Below are 17589 nucleotides of genomic sequence, written 5' to 3'. Positions count from 1 at the left end.
AGGCCAGAAGCTGTGCACACATCCTCCCAGGTTTCTGCTCTGCTACCTAACAGGTAATTATACCCTGACATGCACAGCGGCGAAGAAGGGATTTTCTGTGAAGCAAAATCTCCTGTGAAATATTCAGGCCACGCTGGGCTTTGCTTCCCAGCGTCTAGTTGCTGCTGCTTGGCTTGTCCGTGGCTTGAGAGGCCACATGTGTCTGAAGACCACATGGGATTTTTTATTTCCTTCTCAACAGGGAGAGGTTCCCCAAGGGCTAGGAAGAACCCAGTTTGGGACCTAAGATGCTCTGTGTGTGTGTGTGTGTGTGTGTGTGTGTGTGTGTGTGTGTGTGTATTCCCCTGTGAGCTCCCCAGGGCAGCTCCCCTGTGTGTGTGTATATGTGTGTTGAATACCGTACAATGTATGTGTTTCCACGTGTGTCTCTGGGGCTGTGCTTCTGTGTGTGTGTGCTTGCCTATTTCTAGTCTCTGCACACTGTCATGAACTTGCCATGTGGATGTATTCCTGCGCATGCGTCGTGACCCTGGCACGTAAAGTGCATTTCTCTGACAGTCCAGGTTGTCTCTAAAGGGGCTTCTCAACTGGGCCCCTGTTTCTCTGAATAGGGGTATGCACGCCTGGGAGATTCTCTCAGCGGATGAAGGGCTGCCCTGCGTGACAGTTCAGCCTGTGACTGGCATTACATGCAGGTTTTAGGGTGTGGATTGGAAGCCTTGCAAGTCCCCACAGGCTCAGGGGCTCAGAGACACCAGACCAACTACACATTTGAGTCAAGCTTTCCCCTCTTCTCTCTGGCTTTAGTGTTTGTGTTTAGTGTTTGTTTGATTTCCACCAAAGTGCTTGATAGGGGATGGTTGGGAGGATATTTGCTTCAGAGAGTTCACTGAGCTGGGACATGTGCATCCCTTTGCTGGTGCCTTCCAGTTGCTCAGCTACCCCACGTGTCTCCTCCAGCCCACGAAGCCCCTGCATTTGCACCATGGGTCGTCCTTCTAAAACCCTGATTTTGCACCTCATTCACTTCCTCACAATGCACAAGGTAGGCAGGACTGGAATTGTCATACCCATTTATCAGATGAGTTAACTGAGGCACAAAGAGGCATACATGCAGTCACTTGGTGAACCAGGGCTGGGAGCAGGATCACTAGTTCCTCCTCCCTGTGCAGGTTCCTTTGCCCTCAGCCCCAGCCCTGGGCCCTCAGTGGAGAGAACTCTGCCCAGAGGAAATGGGTCCTGGTTTCATGAATGAATCCAGCTGGAGGATGCCCTTTTCTCCATGTGTAGCTCTCCTCCCTTCTGTCATCACTCATCTTCGTCCTGGAGAGATGACCCTAGGGCGCTTTTCATCTCCAAATAAACAGGCAGGGATGCAGGAGGCAATAATATTGACGTCCATCATTGATATTTCCTTATGGTGGCTGTAATTAGCAATTCTTCCACAGCTGAGGCTCGACCTGGCAGACAAGTGGAGGAGCTCTGGCTTGTTAATGTCAGCCCATTAATGTCACACTGACAAGGCTGATGGTGGGATAGGAGGGGGTGGCCTTAGGTAGACAGCAAGAGACTCAGCGGGGCTGAGCAAGAGAAGAAAGTCCACCCACTTCCCTCCTGCACCAGGGACTTGCTGTCCTCGAGCCCAGTCCCCTGAGAGCACCCCTCATCTCACATATTCAGCAGCTGCCTCCTTCACTCCATGGCCCCTCGCCCCTCCCTATTCTGCTAGGATGGCTTGGCCTGAAGAGCAGGCTCCACATCCCTGGGAAGATCCACAAACCTCAGCCCGAGCACCCACAGCCTAGAAGGGCTCCATTGAGGGCCATCCAGATAGCCGGAGGTGGGAGAGCAGCTCCTCAGCCCTATGCTCTGCTCCTCCAGTGGGAGAATGCGCTCCCCTCCCTTGCCCCCGGCCACACTCCGATCTGCACAGCTCTGCTGGTGCTGACCTCCACAGCAAGGCAATCACATGCCCCCCTCATCCATGCACTGTTAGGATCAGAAAGGCTAGGATTAGCACTCCCAGACCCCAGACCCTCCTTACCCATCCACTTCAGGCTTCCCCTCCTCCTTCTTCTTATCCAGAGAATTCTTGGGTCAGTATCCTCTCCTCCAACCACATTGCTCATCTCAGTGTCCCTCTGGCCAGACTTCTTTAGATCTTTTCATTCCTTGAACACAAGAAGCCAAGCCACTTATCATTCAGAGAGGCTGAGTTCCTCAGCCCTTGCCACCTGCCTGTCTCCTGTGCTGCCAGCCTGCCCATTTGCTACATGCCTAGTCTGGGGCTGCTCTGAACTAATGATCCAACAACTCATAGTGGCAGGGCTTGTTTTTTGAGTGCTTATGATGTGCCAGGCACTGTTAAAAGCATCTTACAAGCATTTGATCTTCATAACAATGCTATGGAGCAAATATACTTAGCATTCCATTTTATAGAGAAGGAAAACTGAGATGCAAGGAGATTAAGTTAGCTGCTCCAGATCACAAGGTTGTTAAGTGGTGGGCAGCATGAATCAGGCTGTGTGGCTCCCAAGCTCTTCTACTGAGCCATCACCCTCCTCTGCCTCCAGCTTCAGCCCCTAAGTCATTTCCTTCACCTGCATCTCTTCCCCTGTGTGCTCCCCAGGGCAGGCAGAGGCTAATCCCCAGCCCCTCACCCAGTGCCGGCTCACGGTAATCAGCAGATGAGGGTAGTAGTGACGACAGCACACTCATCTTAGCCCCATATTACGCAGGCCCCATGGCTCCCTCCCATGTTCTCTGATGTGTGCCTGCTGCCCCCAGGAGCGCTGCACACTTTCTAACAACAGGTCCTCCACCAGGGCTGTTTGCTGAATGAGAGGCGAGCCTCTGACTGCAAGACTCCTTGAGGCAGAGAGAGGCAGCCCTGCCCACCAAGGAACACCCACTCAAAGGGGACCTCGGAAACTTGTGTCTCAGCTCATAGACAGGACTTGGCGGAGATGTCCACATGTTCATGTCATTCATTCATTCACTCATTCATTCATTCATTCATTCAGCCAACACTTGCTGGATGCTGTGTGCTCTGAGCCAGGCCCTCTGGAGGGTCCAAGCACACTGAGATAAACAGGTCCTCGCTGTGCCCTGGGGGAGCCCATGGCCTTGGTGGTGGGGAAGCATAGCCAGGGCTCACCAGTGCTGGGGAAAACTTGCTCAGTGAGCCAGAACCAGAGCACCGTGTGGGGGTGGCTGGGATGGGGGAGAGAGGCTGCACAGAAGAGCAAACACTTGAATGGATTCACTGAGGAAAAGGAGGTGTTTTTAGGCTGAGGGAGAGGAATGAGTACCACAGGCAGAGGGAACTGCCTGTGCAAAGGCCCTGGGTCTGAAAGGGCCCAGGACACATGCAGGGCAGCCTGGAGGCGGGTCAGCTCAGCATCTCACCTCACCTGCCTGGCGGAGGGTGCGGTGTGGGCAGGTCAGCGTCTGCAGGCGGGTGGAATTCCCAGCATGGCGACTAAGCCAGCTAGCTGTGGAGGGGATGTGTGAGGACAAAGGATATTCCTTGGGTTCAGGAAAGGGCCACCTGGGCTTGGGCTGGCCTGAAGGGCACTCGCAACTATGGTTGCACTCATCTGTGCTGGGTCTCCCAGGTCTCAGAGCTCCCAGGCCTCAAAGCAGCCCCTCCAATAGGCAGAAGAGAGACTGAGGCCCAGGCAGTGGCAGAACCCTACCCAGGGTCACACACAAGCAGTGGGTGAGCAGGAGGTTCCCACTGCCCTCTAGCAGGATGTTGGGGTCCTTGACAAGGAGCAGGGCTCTAGCTGTCAGGGTACAGGGCAAAGCGTGGTATCTGCCAAGCATGGAGCAAGGCAGGAAAGGCCTGGCTGGAGAGGACATGACACAGAGCCCACCAGAAGGCTGAGGGTTGGGCAAGGGGCCTTGAGTGCTGGCAGAGGAGAGGGCTTGCCTCTGGAGTCACCTCTGGAAGCTTTTCGAGGATTTGGCTTGAACATCCTGTGGACAGTCTCTGGGGAAAATGTCTCTCATACACCTCATGGGGCTCAGAACAGCCCACAAGGGAACCAGGCGTCCCTGCCCACATGTGCACAGGCAGGGACCTGTATACCAAGATGTGCGCCCACCTCTGTATGAGCTCAGGCACACGTGTGTACAAGCATGCCTCTGTTTGCACATGCAGATCTCTGTATGTGTGTCATATGTGTACAGCTGTGTGTTTACAAGTCTGAAGGAGCTGTCCCTTCAAGTACAATTCTGTATCTGTATGTGTGTACAAGAGCCCCTGCCACGGCCAGCAGCCCCACAGGGACACACCCTTCCCCTCCCACTGGAGTCAGATGCTCCGGAACTTGCTGCTCTCAGGCCTGGGTCCAGCCCTCCCTGGCCCATCTCAAGGCCCTCCCCCTGAGTCCTGAGGTTTGGCCTCCTGGGGACAAGGCCAGCCAACTTGGACCAGGTAGGGGCTCCTGGTGGATAGAAGTAGGCATCAAAGAAACAGCTCAGGCTGGGAGGAGCCCTCCAGCTCTCTTTTGTGCAAGCCACCTCCCCACACATACCTGAGTGCCTGCCACAGGATGCTGACCTACCCTCCCCAGCCACTTACACTGCTCTCCTGACCGGGAGCTCACTGCTTCCCAGGGAAGCGCCTGGGGAACCTATGGGACGTTGCCTCGAAAGGAGATGTCAGGAGTGCCAGAGGATGGGGTCAGGGCTTGGCCATGACCCCCCAACCATCCACAAGGCCTGGGGCCTTCCCATAACAGACAGGCCTGGGGCACCAGCTCCTGGTGGCAAGGCCAGGCCCCAGCATCCAGGGACTTTCACCTTGTTGTCAAGAGCGTATTTCAGCTATTAGTGACAGTGGCCAGGGATTTGGGGAGGATTTCTGTCTCATTTCCCAGAGCTTTCAGCAAGCCTCCTCCCTTTCCACCCCTCCGCCTGCCAGGGCTGAGAATGCAAACGCATGCGCGCGCGCACACACACACACACACACACACACACACACACACACACACTGCTCCTGTGTGGCAGAAGAGAGGAAGGGAGAGAGAAATCTGGGTCAGTCTCCCAGGGAAGGCTCTGTGGCAGCTCCCCACCTTCCCCAGCAGATGCTTGGTGTTGCACGCTCAGCCGAGGTCCGAAGGCAAGGCTTGCCCGGGTCCTGCCCCAGCCTCTGCCAGAGGGGCTCTGCCTTGGGAGCCCAGGCTTGCCCTGCTTAGCCCCTCCCTGGGCCTCCCTGTCCAGGTGACCTCACTCTTGGGCCTGAGCATTTCCTCTGCCAGGCCCCAGGACTCATGGGTCATTTATGCCACACTCAGCTGATTGCATGGAGGGTGACAGAGGCTCTCCCCATCCCCCACTCGACCCTTCAGCTTCAGCCCCTGGGACTTGGGATATGAGCGGCAGAGTGGTAGGGGAGGCCCGTATCTCTGGAACTGGGGCGTGTAAGCGCACCCCCACGCAGAGAACACCCAAACACTGAGGAAGGACCCCTACTGGTGGGATTTCAGGCAGTGGGGCAGGGGCTGGGGGTCTGGGTAGGATGCCTCAGAGGTGGGAAGGGGTTTCTGAGAGAAGGGCAGATAAATACCTGAAGATGTCACTGCCATTTCAGGATACATCTTGGGTGGGGATTTAGCTAAAGCCCTGAGTGGTTAAACGGGTCCCCTAGACAGGACCAAAGTCCAGGGTGGAGTTCTACCCCACCAGTGAGCTCAGGCAGACGTTCACTGGACTGGGTGGCAGGGGGAGGTGGCAGGGTTTCCTGCCTGAACCAGGCCCTATTTAGCCAAGAAAACTGAATCATGGGGAATGACCACCGTTTAAGCCACCCAGGGATCCTGGAAGCCTCCCCACCCCCGACCACTGATAGACACCAAAGCCGCTTTCTTCTTCCGCCCTCGCACCGCACACAGTTCTAGGTGACCCAGCACATCTCTGCTTCCTTCTACCAGGGCATGGCCATGCGTGGGGAATGTTTACTGAATGCAGGAAGAGATGGTTGATTTGATTTAAGTTAGATATTAGGAAGGACTTCCAGATGCCACTGGGGCAGACTTAGCCCTGGACTGGATGTCTATGGAGGTGAGGCTGATCCTCAAAAAGCCTGTCAGGTTGGGGGTGACCCCCGGCATCCCCACCTTCCCCCAGAGGCGGAGTCCTGCCTTTCGAGTGTGGTGAAGCACCGGCTTCCTTCCTGCAGGGGCCTTGCTTGTCCCAGAGCCTCCTGCAGTGCCTGTCTTTTTCCCAGCCCAGGGAGTGTGGGTTCTGTGCGGTGGTCAGCTACTGAAATATTGCTGTCATCGTGTGCATCTGTTGGTATACACATGTGCAGTGTGTGTGCCTGCGTGTGACCAAGCTGAGGGCACATGTGCACAGGATGGCTCAGGAGTCAGTCCATCGACTTCAAAGTATTTTAAAATATAGAACCAGAGACCTTCTGGCTTCAGAAGGGGCTAAAAGGATTGATTTTTAGGTCACAGAGAGGCAGGCAGGCCTGCCTTCACCCACCAGCCCTTCATGGAGTAGAGACCCCCAGGCTGGGCATTCAGGGAAACCCAGGGCCAAGGAAGCTAGTCCTTGGCCTTGAGCTGGGGGCTGCTAAAGAGGAGTTAGAGGGGGCTGGAAAGGCTTCAAGAGAGGGTGGAGGGTATTGGCTTTGAGAGAAGGTGAGGGTGGGGTCATGTTCTCAGTTGGGGCTGGGCAGCCTGTTCCCTCTTTGAGAACCTCATAGAAAAGGGTTTCCTGCCCCCTCATCCCCAAGGGCTCCAGCCAACCCCATCCTTCCTCCCTCTGACCGCCCTTCTCTCATTCCCCACAGCCAGGCCAAGCTGTAACTTAGTGCTCAGAGGCCCCTTGGGCAGGAGCTGGGGCAGCTGAGCAGGGTGGGGTGGGGGTAGGAGCTACCAGTACCACGCCTTCCCTCTGCTAACCCTACCTGACTGGGGCTGTGCACTGGGGCCCCAGAACTGTGTAGGCCAGGGTCACACACACTCACATATGTGGGTCCTCCTGGATCAATGGGGTATGGAGCTGGAAAAGGTCTAATTCAATCTGTCAGCCAGTTATAAGTTATTGTACTGGAAGTGGCTCTTGCCTCAACCTACCTACCATCTCCTCTTGCCCCATCCAGAGGTCATGGAAGCTCCCGTTGAGGGGAGTCGGGCAGGGTGGGTGCAGGCAGCATCCTGGGCAGGAGTGGCCCATGAGGATTGGGAAAGAATCAGAGACAGCATCCTCTCCTCCAGACCATGGGCCCTGGAAGGGTCTCCAAGACTCTCTGGGTCAGCACAGCCCTTGTCCACACAGGGAAACTGAGGCCCAGCAAAGGTAGAGGGCTGGCCTGTCCCTGTGTGAGATGTGGGCCATGCTGTCTCTGTTTGCTCAGGCCCCGCTGGGAAGGGCAGGAGGGAAAAAGAAGCAGAGGGTGGGGCGATCAGTAGGGGAAAGAGGACAAGGGTCTAGGGTGCTGTGAGGCACACTTCAGGCTGTTTACCCAGCAGTGTTTGAGCCCTCGGGCCAGAGAAGGTCTTGCCTTCTGCCCTCTCAGGGATGGTGGCCCAACCCAGGAAACAGATAGTGTCTGGCGCTGAGTCTCATTGGGGGCTTCAAATGAACTGGCAAGGCACTGTCATTCCCATTTCATAGATATCCAAACTGAGACCCAAAGAGAGGCCTGCCTCTGGGAGGTCTTCCACAGCTGAATACCCTCAGCGAGGAGGCTCTGCTTGCTGCCTGAGGCAGAGCTGGGAGTAGCTCCTCTGGGAGGGTGGGCATTGGGGGCAGCTTGTCCCCAGGACTTCCCAGCCTTCCCTGTTTGTTCCCATGCTGTCCAAGAACTTCTTCTGCAAGTCTGACCACAGTCCCTCCTGCTTTAATTTCATCCCACCACTCATGCGAGATCTTGTCAATCCAAAGGTCTCTCTGTCCCTCTGCCTTCTTGGTGTGGGGTGGGTCTGGGGGCTCAGGCACTGTCCCTGCAACCTGGCTGGCTCCTGAGGGCAAGGGATGAAGCTAACCCATCCCAGCCTGCCCACCCAGGCCAGTTTGAAAATCGGCTCGCCTTTGCCCAGCATTGCAATTCTCATCACAGCCTCTGCCCATCTCATTTCTGTTAAACTCATTTGCCAGCTGAAGGCCTTCATTTTCCACTCTGTTTGCCCATAATCACCCCCTGACCCTGTCCTGTCTCCCCAAACTCTCCCTGCAGTGCCCAGCACTGTGATGAGCAGGCAGCCAGGCTCAGGCACAGCCGCAGCCCTCCATCCATCCCTCCCGCCTGTCTTGGGAAGAGGCCTGTGCTCCAGGCAGGGATCTCATCCCTGCCTCTGTGCATTCCTCTACTCCCAAACCAGACACTGGGAAAACTACAGACAGACTCTCAGCCCTTGAAGGCTACTCACCCTCCACTCTCTGCCTGTCCACCCAGGCCAGGAAGGCACTGTTCTAAACACTGTGCATGTATGAAGTCCCTTAATTCATCCACTAGCCCGAATGAATTTCTAATTGGTGGGAGTTTAAGGAGAAATGTTGACAAAGGGAAACTGAGGGAGCAAGAGGCAAACTTCTCCCTCCTCCAGGGCTCCATCCCTGCTCCCACTTGGTACAGAGAATAGAGCCCAGCTGTTGCTGCAAACCATGTCAGGCATCTGCTGAGGTCGCCTCGGGAGAGCAAGGGAGACTCTGCTCTCCCCCCAGGGCTCACCATTCTCCCATGAGATGCCTGCAAGGGTGGGGCTTCAGGCCAGGCACCCTCCCCTCCGGATCTCAGAGCACCCCTGAGAAAGTCCCTTGGCGCCGAGTATCATCACACAGACTGTGGGAGGAATCAGAAGTAATGTCCTCTGAGGCCTCGGCACCCCTCCACGTCTTACCATGGCTGAACCTCCGCCTGGCCCCCTGGACACCCTTGACTCTACTCCAGGCTGGACATGCCCGAGGGCCCATTTCTAAGCCTATTTACCATGAGCCTCAAACGAACCCTATAGAGTGAGTGGAGCTGGGACAAGGATCCCCATTTTGCCGGCAGGGAGATCGAGGCTCAGAGAGGAGAAGTAACTGTGCCAACTCCTCCTCTTCAGAATGGTCTGATGATCTCTTCCTGGAGCATAGTGTAGGGAAGGGTTTATTGCATTCTAACAAGGACTTTCACTATTTTAAACAGAAGAATGTGCAATAATGGTACGATTCCAGGCCCCGCCCCTTTCCTCTCCACCAGGAGGTCTTCTGGTTCCCAGGGTGCCCTCTGCTGGAGGAGGCTAGGCAGCTGCTCTAGGCTGGCCCCACCCCACCCCACCCCAGCCTCTCCCGCCCCACCAGCTTTCAAGGTCAGGCTGCCTGGTAATACAGTAATTGATCTGGGAGACTTCCATTATAAATCTGCCAGCTGGCCAGGTGGCACGCCCCATGGTCCATCCCATCCAGCCCCCCATGGTAATGACCACTCCTCTGTTCCTGTGTGGGAAGGTGACTGGCCACTCTTTGCTTCTCCCCATCCACTACCCCTGTAGGCAGGAGCCCAGGGACTCTGAACTCAGACAGAGGTGACATGGTTCTGAACTGACCTCACACTTCAACTGCTGTGTGGTCTCAGGCAAACTACATGCCCTCTCTGAGCCTCCATGTCCACAACTGGAACATGGTTCTGGTCAGATGGCCTTAAGGATCCACTGTGACAAAGTGGGAACCGAAAGAGTGTCCATTGTGATGAGGGCTCCCTTGAGACCTCTGCTTGAGGGTCCTTGGATGGGGGAGTCCTAGGTAGGGCATGATTGCACCTGTCTCTCTCAGCAAGTCAGGGAAGACTTCTTAGAAGAGGTGGCATTTGGGCTGGGTCTTGGAAGATGACAGGACTCCCTAAGGTTTGGGAGTGGGGACAGTGGTGCATGGTGTTCTGGGGACGGCAGGAAAGGGTCCTGTACAGAGCCATGACCAGCCCAGAGCATTAGGGTTTTTTCCTTGCAAATCTAACCCCATCAAGCCCTGCTTATACGCTTCAGTGGCTCCCATTGCCCTACGGCTGAAGTCCCAGCTCCCTGAGGAAGCTTCAGATCTAGTCCCAGCCAGCTTCTCCAGGCACCCAAGCCACTGCCCTTGCCCCCAGGGCTCCAACCTTAATGAATTTTTAAAATTCTCTACAATCTGTGACCTTTGCACCAAGCTGCTCCCTAGTTTGACTCAATGACCACAATAAAATTGAATCCTGTGACTAGATAAAATCTCCACTCCACTCTATTCCAGGGCCCACGGGCCCTTTGTGATCTGCCTGCCTCCCTTTCCCCTGCTCCTCTCCCACTCCGTCCTCGCTCAGTCTTAGCTCCTCTGTTGCCCCCCAGATCTTCACATTGCTGGTTTCATCATGTTCAGGACTCAGCTCAAGTGTACTCAACCTAAAGTAGCCTTCAGGTGACAGTCATCCTGGTTTGCCCAGAACCGAGGTGTCTCCTAGGATGCAAAACTCTTAGTGCTGAAAGCAGACATTCCCAGACAAATGGGGATGATTGGTCACCCTCATTTCTTTCCAGTCCCTACTGCCAGGCCTGCCTGCTTTCTTTTCTTCCTCTTTCTTTTGTTGGAAGTCCCAGTTTGTCAGTCTGTTATTACTTGCGGATCGGCTGCCTTCCCCTGGCCTTGAGCTGCTGGAGAACAAGCCTGCATCTGCCAGTTCAGCACTGAGTCCCCCTTGCCCAGAACCACGTGCGGTGAGAACGGTGCTCAGCACCAGCACCAGAGCATGCCTGGTCAGTGTTTGTTGAGCGAATGGGTGAAGTGTGTACACAGACTGTTTCACTGTGGACCTGGCCTCTCCTCTCCTCTCTGGGCCTCAGTTTCCCATCTGTACTACAAGGGTGGGCTTTGGGAGTCCCAGAGAGGGCTCTCCAAGCCCCAGTGCCCCCACATGCAGGAAGTGAAGAGAAGAGCTACTGCCCAGCTCGGTGTGAAGGGCTGGGCATGCGCCGGACTCCAGGGTGGGCAGGGCAGGGCGGCCCTGCTGACGGGGAAGTGTCACAGTCCTCACCTTCCTAGACATCCCGCCGTCACCTGAGGGCCATTTCTGGGCCAGGCCGTTGGTCCAGACCCCAGGTTGGGGGCATCCAGAGTGATGGTGCCGACTGCCAAGCCCCACTCCCCTCCCACCCCCGGGAAACAGATGGCCCAAGCTTGGGCGGGCGGCAGAGACGGGGACTGGCATTTGTGTGTGTGTGCGGTTTTTTAAAAATCTGACACATTTTTGTCACGTCTTGGTGCATCAGAACAGTAAAGGAGGCGGGAGTGTGAAGAATGTTTTAACTCGCAACTTTGTAACAGTTCCAGTTTCTCCGGGCCTCCTCCCCCTCCCTCAAGCCCCCGCGGCGGAGCCTCCAAGTCCATCTGTTCCCGAATCTCTACTCCCTGCCCCCCTAAATCCATCCCTCCTTCCTTCAGTTGAGGGGGAGAGATCCTCAGAGGAAGCAGCTTGGGCCCTTCAGAGGACCCTGGGCAGGGAGGCAGGGGACCTACTTCTGGGCCCGGCTTTACCCCAGGCTCGCTGTGTGACCTTGTAGAGCTCTAACCCTCTCTGGGCCCCATCTGTGTGCTCCTAGGGGTCAAGCCTATCCCCTTTGGGGTTCCTTGATTCTGATAGTCATGGGAATGTCTGGGGAGAAGAGTTGGAAATGGAGTGTGCAGGAGGGATCAAGATGGGGAGTTTGGGGATTCAGGACACCCAGAGAGAATGGCCTGAGCTGGTGAAGGGGCCACATTCATGAACACTGAGTGGGTCCCAACCTTCACTGCCCTCAGGCTTGGGGCTTGCGTTCCCCCACCCCCGGCCCCTCATCCACCTAGCCTGCCCAGGGTGGTTCTTTCAAGATGCCCCATGACTAGCTGAGGTCTGGGGCAGCTACCTGAGGTCAGGGGAGGGAGGAGGAGCCAGGCAGTACCAGGGACCCAGGCATCCCTGTCTGAGCCCTAGAAAAAGAGGCAGGATGAGTATCAAGCCTTAGAAGATTTGCTCCTCAGCTGCCATCCCTCCAGTCCCCAAGCTTGCCTGGCATTAGCTTCCATTTTATATGTCATGGAAATGCCAACTGTCCTCGAAAACCAAGAGTCCACACAGCTGGTAGGAGCTGCCCTGGGTGGGCACGGGGAGAGTTTAGGGGCATGAAGGGGCAGTGTCCTGTGGCAGCTCAGCCAAAGCGAGGGCTCAAGCCTTGCTCCCTCACTGCACAGCTCAGAGACCAGGACTGCTGGGCACCTGTGCAGTAGCTTGGGATGGGGTGGGGCTGGCAGCCAGGGTGCCACTGCCAGGGACAAAGAAACCAGCTCCTGGCTGCACTCCTGTTTTCCCCATCCCTCCACACCTAACATGGAACTCCCAAAGTCCAGGGCATGTATCATGGACAAAGCCAGAGGGACGGGGGAGGCAGAGGGTGCCTAACACACTGGGGGCAGCTTCTGAATATCACCCCACATATCTGCATCCTGGGGAGGGCCGAGGACAGGACTGGGAGTCCCTGCAGGAGGTGGTCTCGTGTGCCCAAGAGGGTGAGCTCTGGACAGGGCAGCCGAGGGAACCAACATGGCCCCCGTTGCAGCCCAAGCCCCAGACCCCAAGGCCCCTCTGAGCCGGTGCCACACGAGTCTCACCATATGGGCGCAGGGCGGCTGCGGGGGGAGGAGCTGGAGTTGCCATGAGAACCCGCACACTGGCATTTCCTCTTTTGGGGAGGCTGAACCATACTTCGCAGGCGGTGTAGGCTTCTGAATCCCATTTCTCTGTGTTTTTTAGGAAGGGAAAAAGGGCAGAGGAAGGGGGTGGAAAAAGACAAGGAGGGAGAGAGAGAGAGTCAGAGGCAGCCAGGAGGGAGCAGTGGAGCTGTCTGGGGCTGCAAGGGTTGATCAGGGACCTCCTTTCCCCAAAGCTCAGTCCAGGGCCAAAGTGGGGTCTGGAGTTCTCTCTGATTCGTTGTCCAGGCCTTGGGTAAACCTCTTCCTTAAAACACACAGCCCTGCATCCTGCCTGAGATTCAAGTCAACTCTTTGGGCCCTTTCTGGGTTCCTTACTGTCACCCCTGTCCCCTGAGTGCCCAGCCCTGTGGGCAGCCACACTGGAAGCAGCAGAGGGTAGAGGACGCAGACCCTGCTCCCAGAGTCCCAGCAGGGGCAGGAGTCCACCCTAACCTGAGTCCACAGCAGACTTCCTGGGCTTTAGTAGCTTGGCAGTGGAACTCCACGTGACCGGGGCAGAAGTGGAAGGCTGCTTGGAGAACAGGAAACTACACAGAGGCAAGCAATGGGGAGGAGAAGGCTGGGAGGAGGGCGAGAAGGTGGGGAGCTGGCAGGAGAGGCCGGTGTCCACCCATCAGCCCCACCGTCTCGTCAGGAGCTGGGGCTGGGTGTCCTGAGAACACAGGCTTGGGGTAGACAGACCTGGGTGTGAATCTGGTTCCATCTCTTCATACCCCTGGCAAATGAACCTCATTAGGCCTCAGTGTCTCCAGTCTGTAAGATGGGTATGGTGGTACCTACCTTGAAGGTTTCCAGTGGTGTGCAGCCAGTGGAGCGGCCAGAGTGGCTGTCATTAAATGGCAGCTGCTATTGGTATGGTCACCCAGGTCACGGTTGCCGGCATCCACTGGGGACACAGGGAGGAGCAAACGGATGTGGTACTGATCTCGGAGGAGTGCCCACCTTGAGCAGAGGTGTGGCGGTAGGACCCAGCGTGTCTATGTTTGGGGAGGTGGCATTGTAGGGAGGGGCTATCCTGGCAGAGGAGAAGGTGGGATGGGAGGAAGAAGTCTGTGAATGTTAAGTAGGCAGTTGGGAGCTGGGGCAGAACCAACCTGGGCCCAACCCAGGCCACATGGGCAGCTCCAAAGCAGAACTGGCCCCGTGGAATCTCTAGCTCTTCTCCAGCTCCTCTTCCTGGAACTTCACCTGCTGTGTCTGGGGCAACCAGCCCTCCTTCCAGGAAGTTCCCTCCCGACCCTGTAGGTGGAGCTGCCATGAAGAGAGGCCAGCACTGCGACATTGCTCTCTCAGAGCTTCCTTGGTGTGACACCCTCTGGACTGCCATTTCCCAGTTATAAATGGGGTTATGGATGGCTGTTTTTCCCTCCCCTAGGGGCTGAGTGGGAACCCATGAGATGAACGGGCAAGCCTCCTTTAGGGTGTGTCTAGGGAAAACAGGAGAGAAGTCTGGCTTTGTTCCCTTGAGCAGAGAGGAAAGGGCGGGGGCGTGGAGCATCAGGGCCACCTCAGCTCTGGCTGGTGCCTCCAATAGCAACAGAGCCCAAGTATTGAGTCCTACTCTGTGCCAAGATCTTTACGTCTCATTTCGTTCTTACAATAACCAGGGAAGTAGCATTATTTCCATGTAACACGGGATGAAAAGACTGAGGCTCAGAAAAGGACAGTAACTTACCCAAGATTACCCAGCTAGTGGCAGCAGAGCCAGGGTTAGAACTCAGCGCTGTCCAGCTCTCGAGCCCTTTCCATTGACCTCTCCAGGTCTCTCTCCCATGACTCCCTCCACCTCTCACAGACTGGAGGCCCCTATCTAGCATCTCCGGTGGGCCACAGAGAGGATTTCAGGGGCATTGTGCTCAGTGATGGGTTGGAAATTAGGAGAAATAGGTGCTGAGACCCCAGCCCCAATCCCCACCAGCTGGGCTCTAACCATACCTAGCCAGCCTGAGGTAGCCCCAGGACCCCTCTACTTAGGGAAGAGCATGGTCTTGGCATCCGATGGATTAAGACTGACTCTTAACTTTGCCACTCACTTACCCTGGTTCCCCCCAGCAAATTTCTGGACCTTTCTGAGCCTCCCTTTTGTCATCCAGAAAATAGTGGCACTGGAGCAGTCAGGCTAGGCTAGGTTTTGCTGCAGTAACAAACAACCTCAAAATCTCAGAGATTTCAAACAACTCACGGTAATTTCTCACCCCCATTCCAAGCACGGGATATCCACTCCTCATTGAGGACCCCAGGCTGAGGAAGTGCCTACCATCTCTACCTGTGCATCAGTTACCATGGTAGCAGGAAGAGGCGAGGCCAAGGCCACCCTGGGTCTTAAAGCCTTCTCTTGTAAATGACACTTGTAACTTCCACTAACATGTCATTGGCCAAAAGCAAGTCACATGGCCATACCTAATGTTAAAGGGGACAGAGAACTGCAGTTCCACACCAAGTGCCTAAGAGGAAGAAAATTGGTATATTAGTTAACATTCCTTAATGACTCTCACAGGGAACTAGCACACAGGGATGCTGTCAACATTCAGTGAACTGAAGGGAATGGGAGCTTGGCACACAGAAGGTACCTAATAAATGTTACTCTTTTCCCCTCCACCCCAGCTCCAAAGAGATCCAACCCCTCTTCCTTTCCGAGCCATCTCTTTCAGATGGACTGTTAGGGTTGATAGGCACTCCCTAAGTTGAGCAGGAAGACTTTTGCTTCTGGGGTAGAGACAAGTAGCAACTTCCCGAGGGGCACATGGCATGGTGGCAGCTAAGGCAGGAAGAGCGGACGGACACCCTCACTCCCAGCTGGGTAACCTGCCCCTGGTCCCGTGCCTCGTTTAACAGATGAAAAAGCAGCAGATACCAGTAATACCTTGACTTTATTAAGGGCTTCATAAGATCCAGATCAAATTACATCTCCTGCAATCGAACAGTTAATTCAATTCCACTCAACAAATGTTCCATTCAATACCAAGAGGGCCTGGGGTAGTCTGGATGGCCCACCAGGCTGGGGAGGCCCCTGTCACTCAGCAACTTCCCTCATTCCTCAGGAAGATACCAACCTCCCTGGCTGGAGGCCACAGGTCTGCCCTAGAGTCTAGGGTCAGTTCAAGATGAGTAGCCAAGGCCTGGTGGGGAAAGAACAGCAGGCAAGGACAGTGACTAAAGACTTTGGGGTCACTTGAGCTCACAGAAACCTGGAGCAGCAGATGGAGCCTCAAGACCCCTGGAATCCAGAGCCACCTTGACCATCAACCTTGAGTCCAAAACCACAAGGCTGTGTGACCTTGGGCAAGTCACTTTTCCTCTTTGGGACTCAGTCTCCCCCAATTAAGGGGTTGGCCTATGTCCGTGTCCCCACCTTTGACATCAGGATTCTGAGAGCTTCTTTGCCAATCTGCATTTCCCCCTTCCCAATCTGAGGTGGCTCAAATAGGAGAGAGACCTGATCCATCCACCCTGTGTGGCCCTACACCCACTGGGCTGGGCCCTGAGGGTCAAACCATGCACTCCCCGGCAATAGCTCACAGTCAGGGAAGGAAACACAAAAGCCAGGTGGGGCGACAGAGGCACACTCCCTCCAGGAAGGGTCACTGATTGCCAGCCATGGCACAGACCAGACAGGCTGTAGGTTAAGCCCAGTTTCCTTCCCTCCTCCCGCACTGTGCTGGCCATTGACCACCACTGGGCTGGAAAAATCCAGGACTCCCTGGTGAAGGAGGAATGGAAGCTGGACCCTGAACCACTTAGCTGGGCAGAGATGGGAGCAGGTTCCAGGTGGAGAACAGCAGGAGCAACAGCTGAGAGGTAGGGTATGTCTGGAGTGGGCGTGAGTGACAGACGTCACCTGGAGGATATATTGACACAGGGAAATGTGATTTCCGTATTCTGGCAACACACACACACACACACACACACACACACACACACACACACACACACTCTCCCTCCCCAGCTGCAGCTGTAGGTAAGAGATGTTGGAGTTGCTCAGGAAGACGGAAGAGCTGTCAGTCATAATTTCATAGTGCAGAGAAGGGATGTCCCTGGAAGCCCCAGAGACGCTTTCAAGTCCCCGGGGACTCTGGGAACAGACCCCCCTTCTACCCAATGAATCAATAATAGCAACAAGAATAGTAGTAACTCTTTTTGGCACTTTATTGTTAATGAAGCACTTTGGTATCCATCATCTTATTCGATCCCTAGGGTGGCCCTGTGAGGCATAGTCTATCCCATTGATTTTCTGATTCACAGAGAAGTCAAAAGATTTACCCAAAGTGGGTGGGTCCACAGCATGCCCTTGCACTGTTTAACTCTGCGGTCTATTCGTGCCTGCTTTTCAGGAGTCCCTTGGGCCTTCGTAGGGAGACATCTGCTCAGAGAGTGGATGGAACAGGGCTCTGGCACGAATGGGATGTAGATTCTGGATTTTCCACTCTGTGGCCTTTCTTGACTTCACCAGAGTTTGAGACATGTCCCAAGGCTACCCTTGCTCAGCCTAAGCCCACAGTCCCTAAGGGCCTGACCAAACCCAGAGACCCAAAGACCTCAGACCTTAAGAGGACCAAACCCCCAATTCCTCTAGAGCCCTTTTCCCTTGAAACAAGGGCCAAAGCAGCTAGTTCAACAGGTAAAGGGGTCAGCCATGCACTGCCCCAGACTGTGATGTCTTCACTTGCTGGAGTTGCTCATCGATCAAGCACTCTTGAGTTTGTATGAGCTTGTTCTTCATTTGAAGCTGTTTGGAAAGTGTGATTTCAAGGACTTCAATCTGTGAGGCTAGCTTCACATACTTTGGAATCATTGCTTATTCATTCAGAGCATGACTTAAAGAACCCTGAACACCTAGATCCAACGTAGTGCCTTCTAGGTAGAAATTGACTGTTA

At 55.2% G+C, this 17589-nt stretch overlaps 1 protein-coding gene and 1 long non-coding RNA gene across 16 annotated transcripts in view, besides 3 other annotated features; one reads left to right on the top strand and one right to left on the bottom strand.

Moving 5' to 3' along the window:
* Window positions 1-17589, top strand: part of LINGO1 (leucine rich repeat and Ig domain containing 1) — a 207874-nt gene that overhangs the window by 151770 nt on the left and 38515 nt on the right. The gene's annotated exons all lie outside the window — the stretch shown is intronic.
* LINGO1-AS2 (LINGO1 antisense RNA 2) lies at window positions 1057-9080 on the bottom strand. 2 transcript variants are annotated; one of them, NR_120361.1, is made up of 3 exons: window positions 8948-9080; window positions 2045-2171; window positions 1057-1460 (listed from the first exon to the last, which is right to left on the bottom strand). It is a non-coding gene; the product is annotated as an LINGO1 antisense RNA 2 (long non-coding RNA). The 2 variants fall into 2 exon arrangements; NR_120362.1 differs by having other exon boundaries at window positions 8966-9080.
* Window positions 1310-1810: an enhancer, noted in NCBI's record as "H3K4me1 hESC enhancer chr15:77959663-77960163 (GRCh37/hg19 assembly coordinates)". NCBI's record gives its function as "activates a minimal SCP1, AML or CMV promoter by ChIP-STARR-seq in naive H9 embryonic stem cells {active_cell/tissue: H9 hESC(naive)}" and the evidence as "EXISTENCE:reporter gene assay evidence [ECO:0000049][PMID:30033119]".
* Window positions 1811-2311: an enhancer, noted in NCBI's record as "H3K4me1 hESC enhancer chr15:77959162-77959662 (GRCh37/hg19 assembly coordinates)". NCBI's record gives its function as "activates a minimal SCP1, AML or CMV promoter by ChIP-STARR-seq in naive H9 embryonic stem cells {active_cell/tissue: H9 hESC(naive)}" and the evidence as "EXISTENCE:reporter gene assay evidence [ECO:0000049][PMID:30033119]".
* Window positions 8285-9206: an enhancer, noted in NCBI's record as "H3K27ac-H3K4me1 hESC enhancer chr15:77952267-77953188 (GRCh37/hg19 assembly coordinates)". NCBI's record gives its function as "activates a minimal SCP1, AML or CMV promoter by ChIP-STARR-seq in naive H9 embryonic stem cells {active_cell/tissue: H9 hESC(naive)}" and the evidence as "EXISTENCE:reporter gene assay evidence [ECO:0000049][PMID:30033119]".

Source organism: Homo sapiens, chromosome 15 (assembly GCF_000001405.40).
Source record: "Homo sapiens chromosome 15, GRCh38.p14 Primary Assembly".
Classification (NCBI taxonomy): domain Eukaryota; kingdom Metazoa; phylum Chordata; class Mammalia; order Primates; family Hominidae; genus Homo; species Homo sapiens.
The sequence above is the reverse complement of the archived record's forward strand: the minus strand, read 5'-3'. Positions and strand labels throughout refer to the sequence as shown.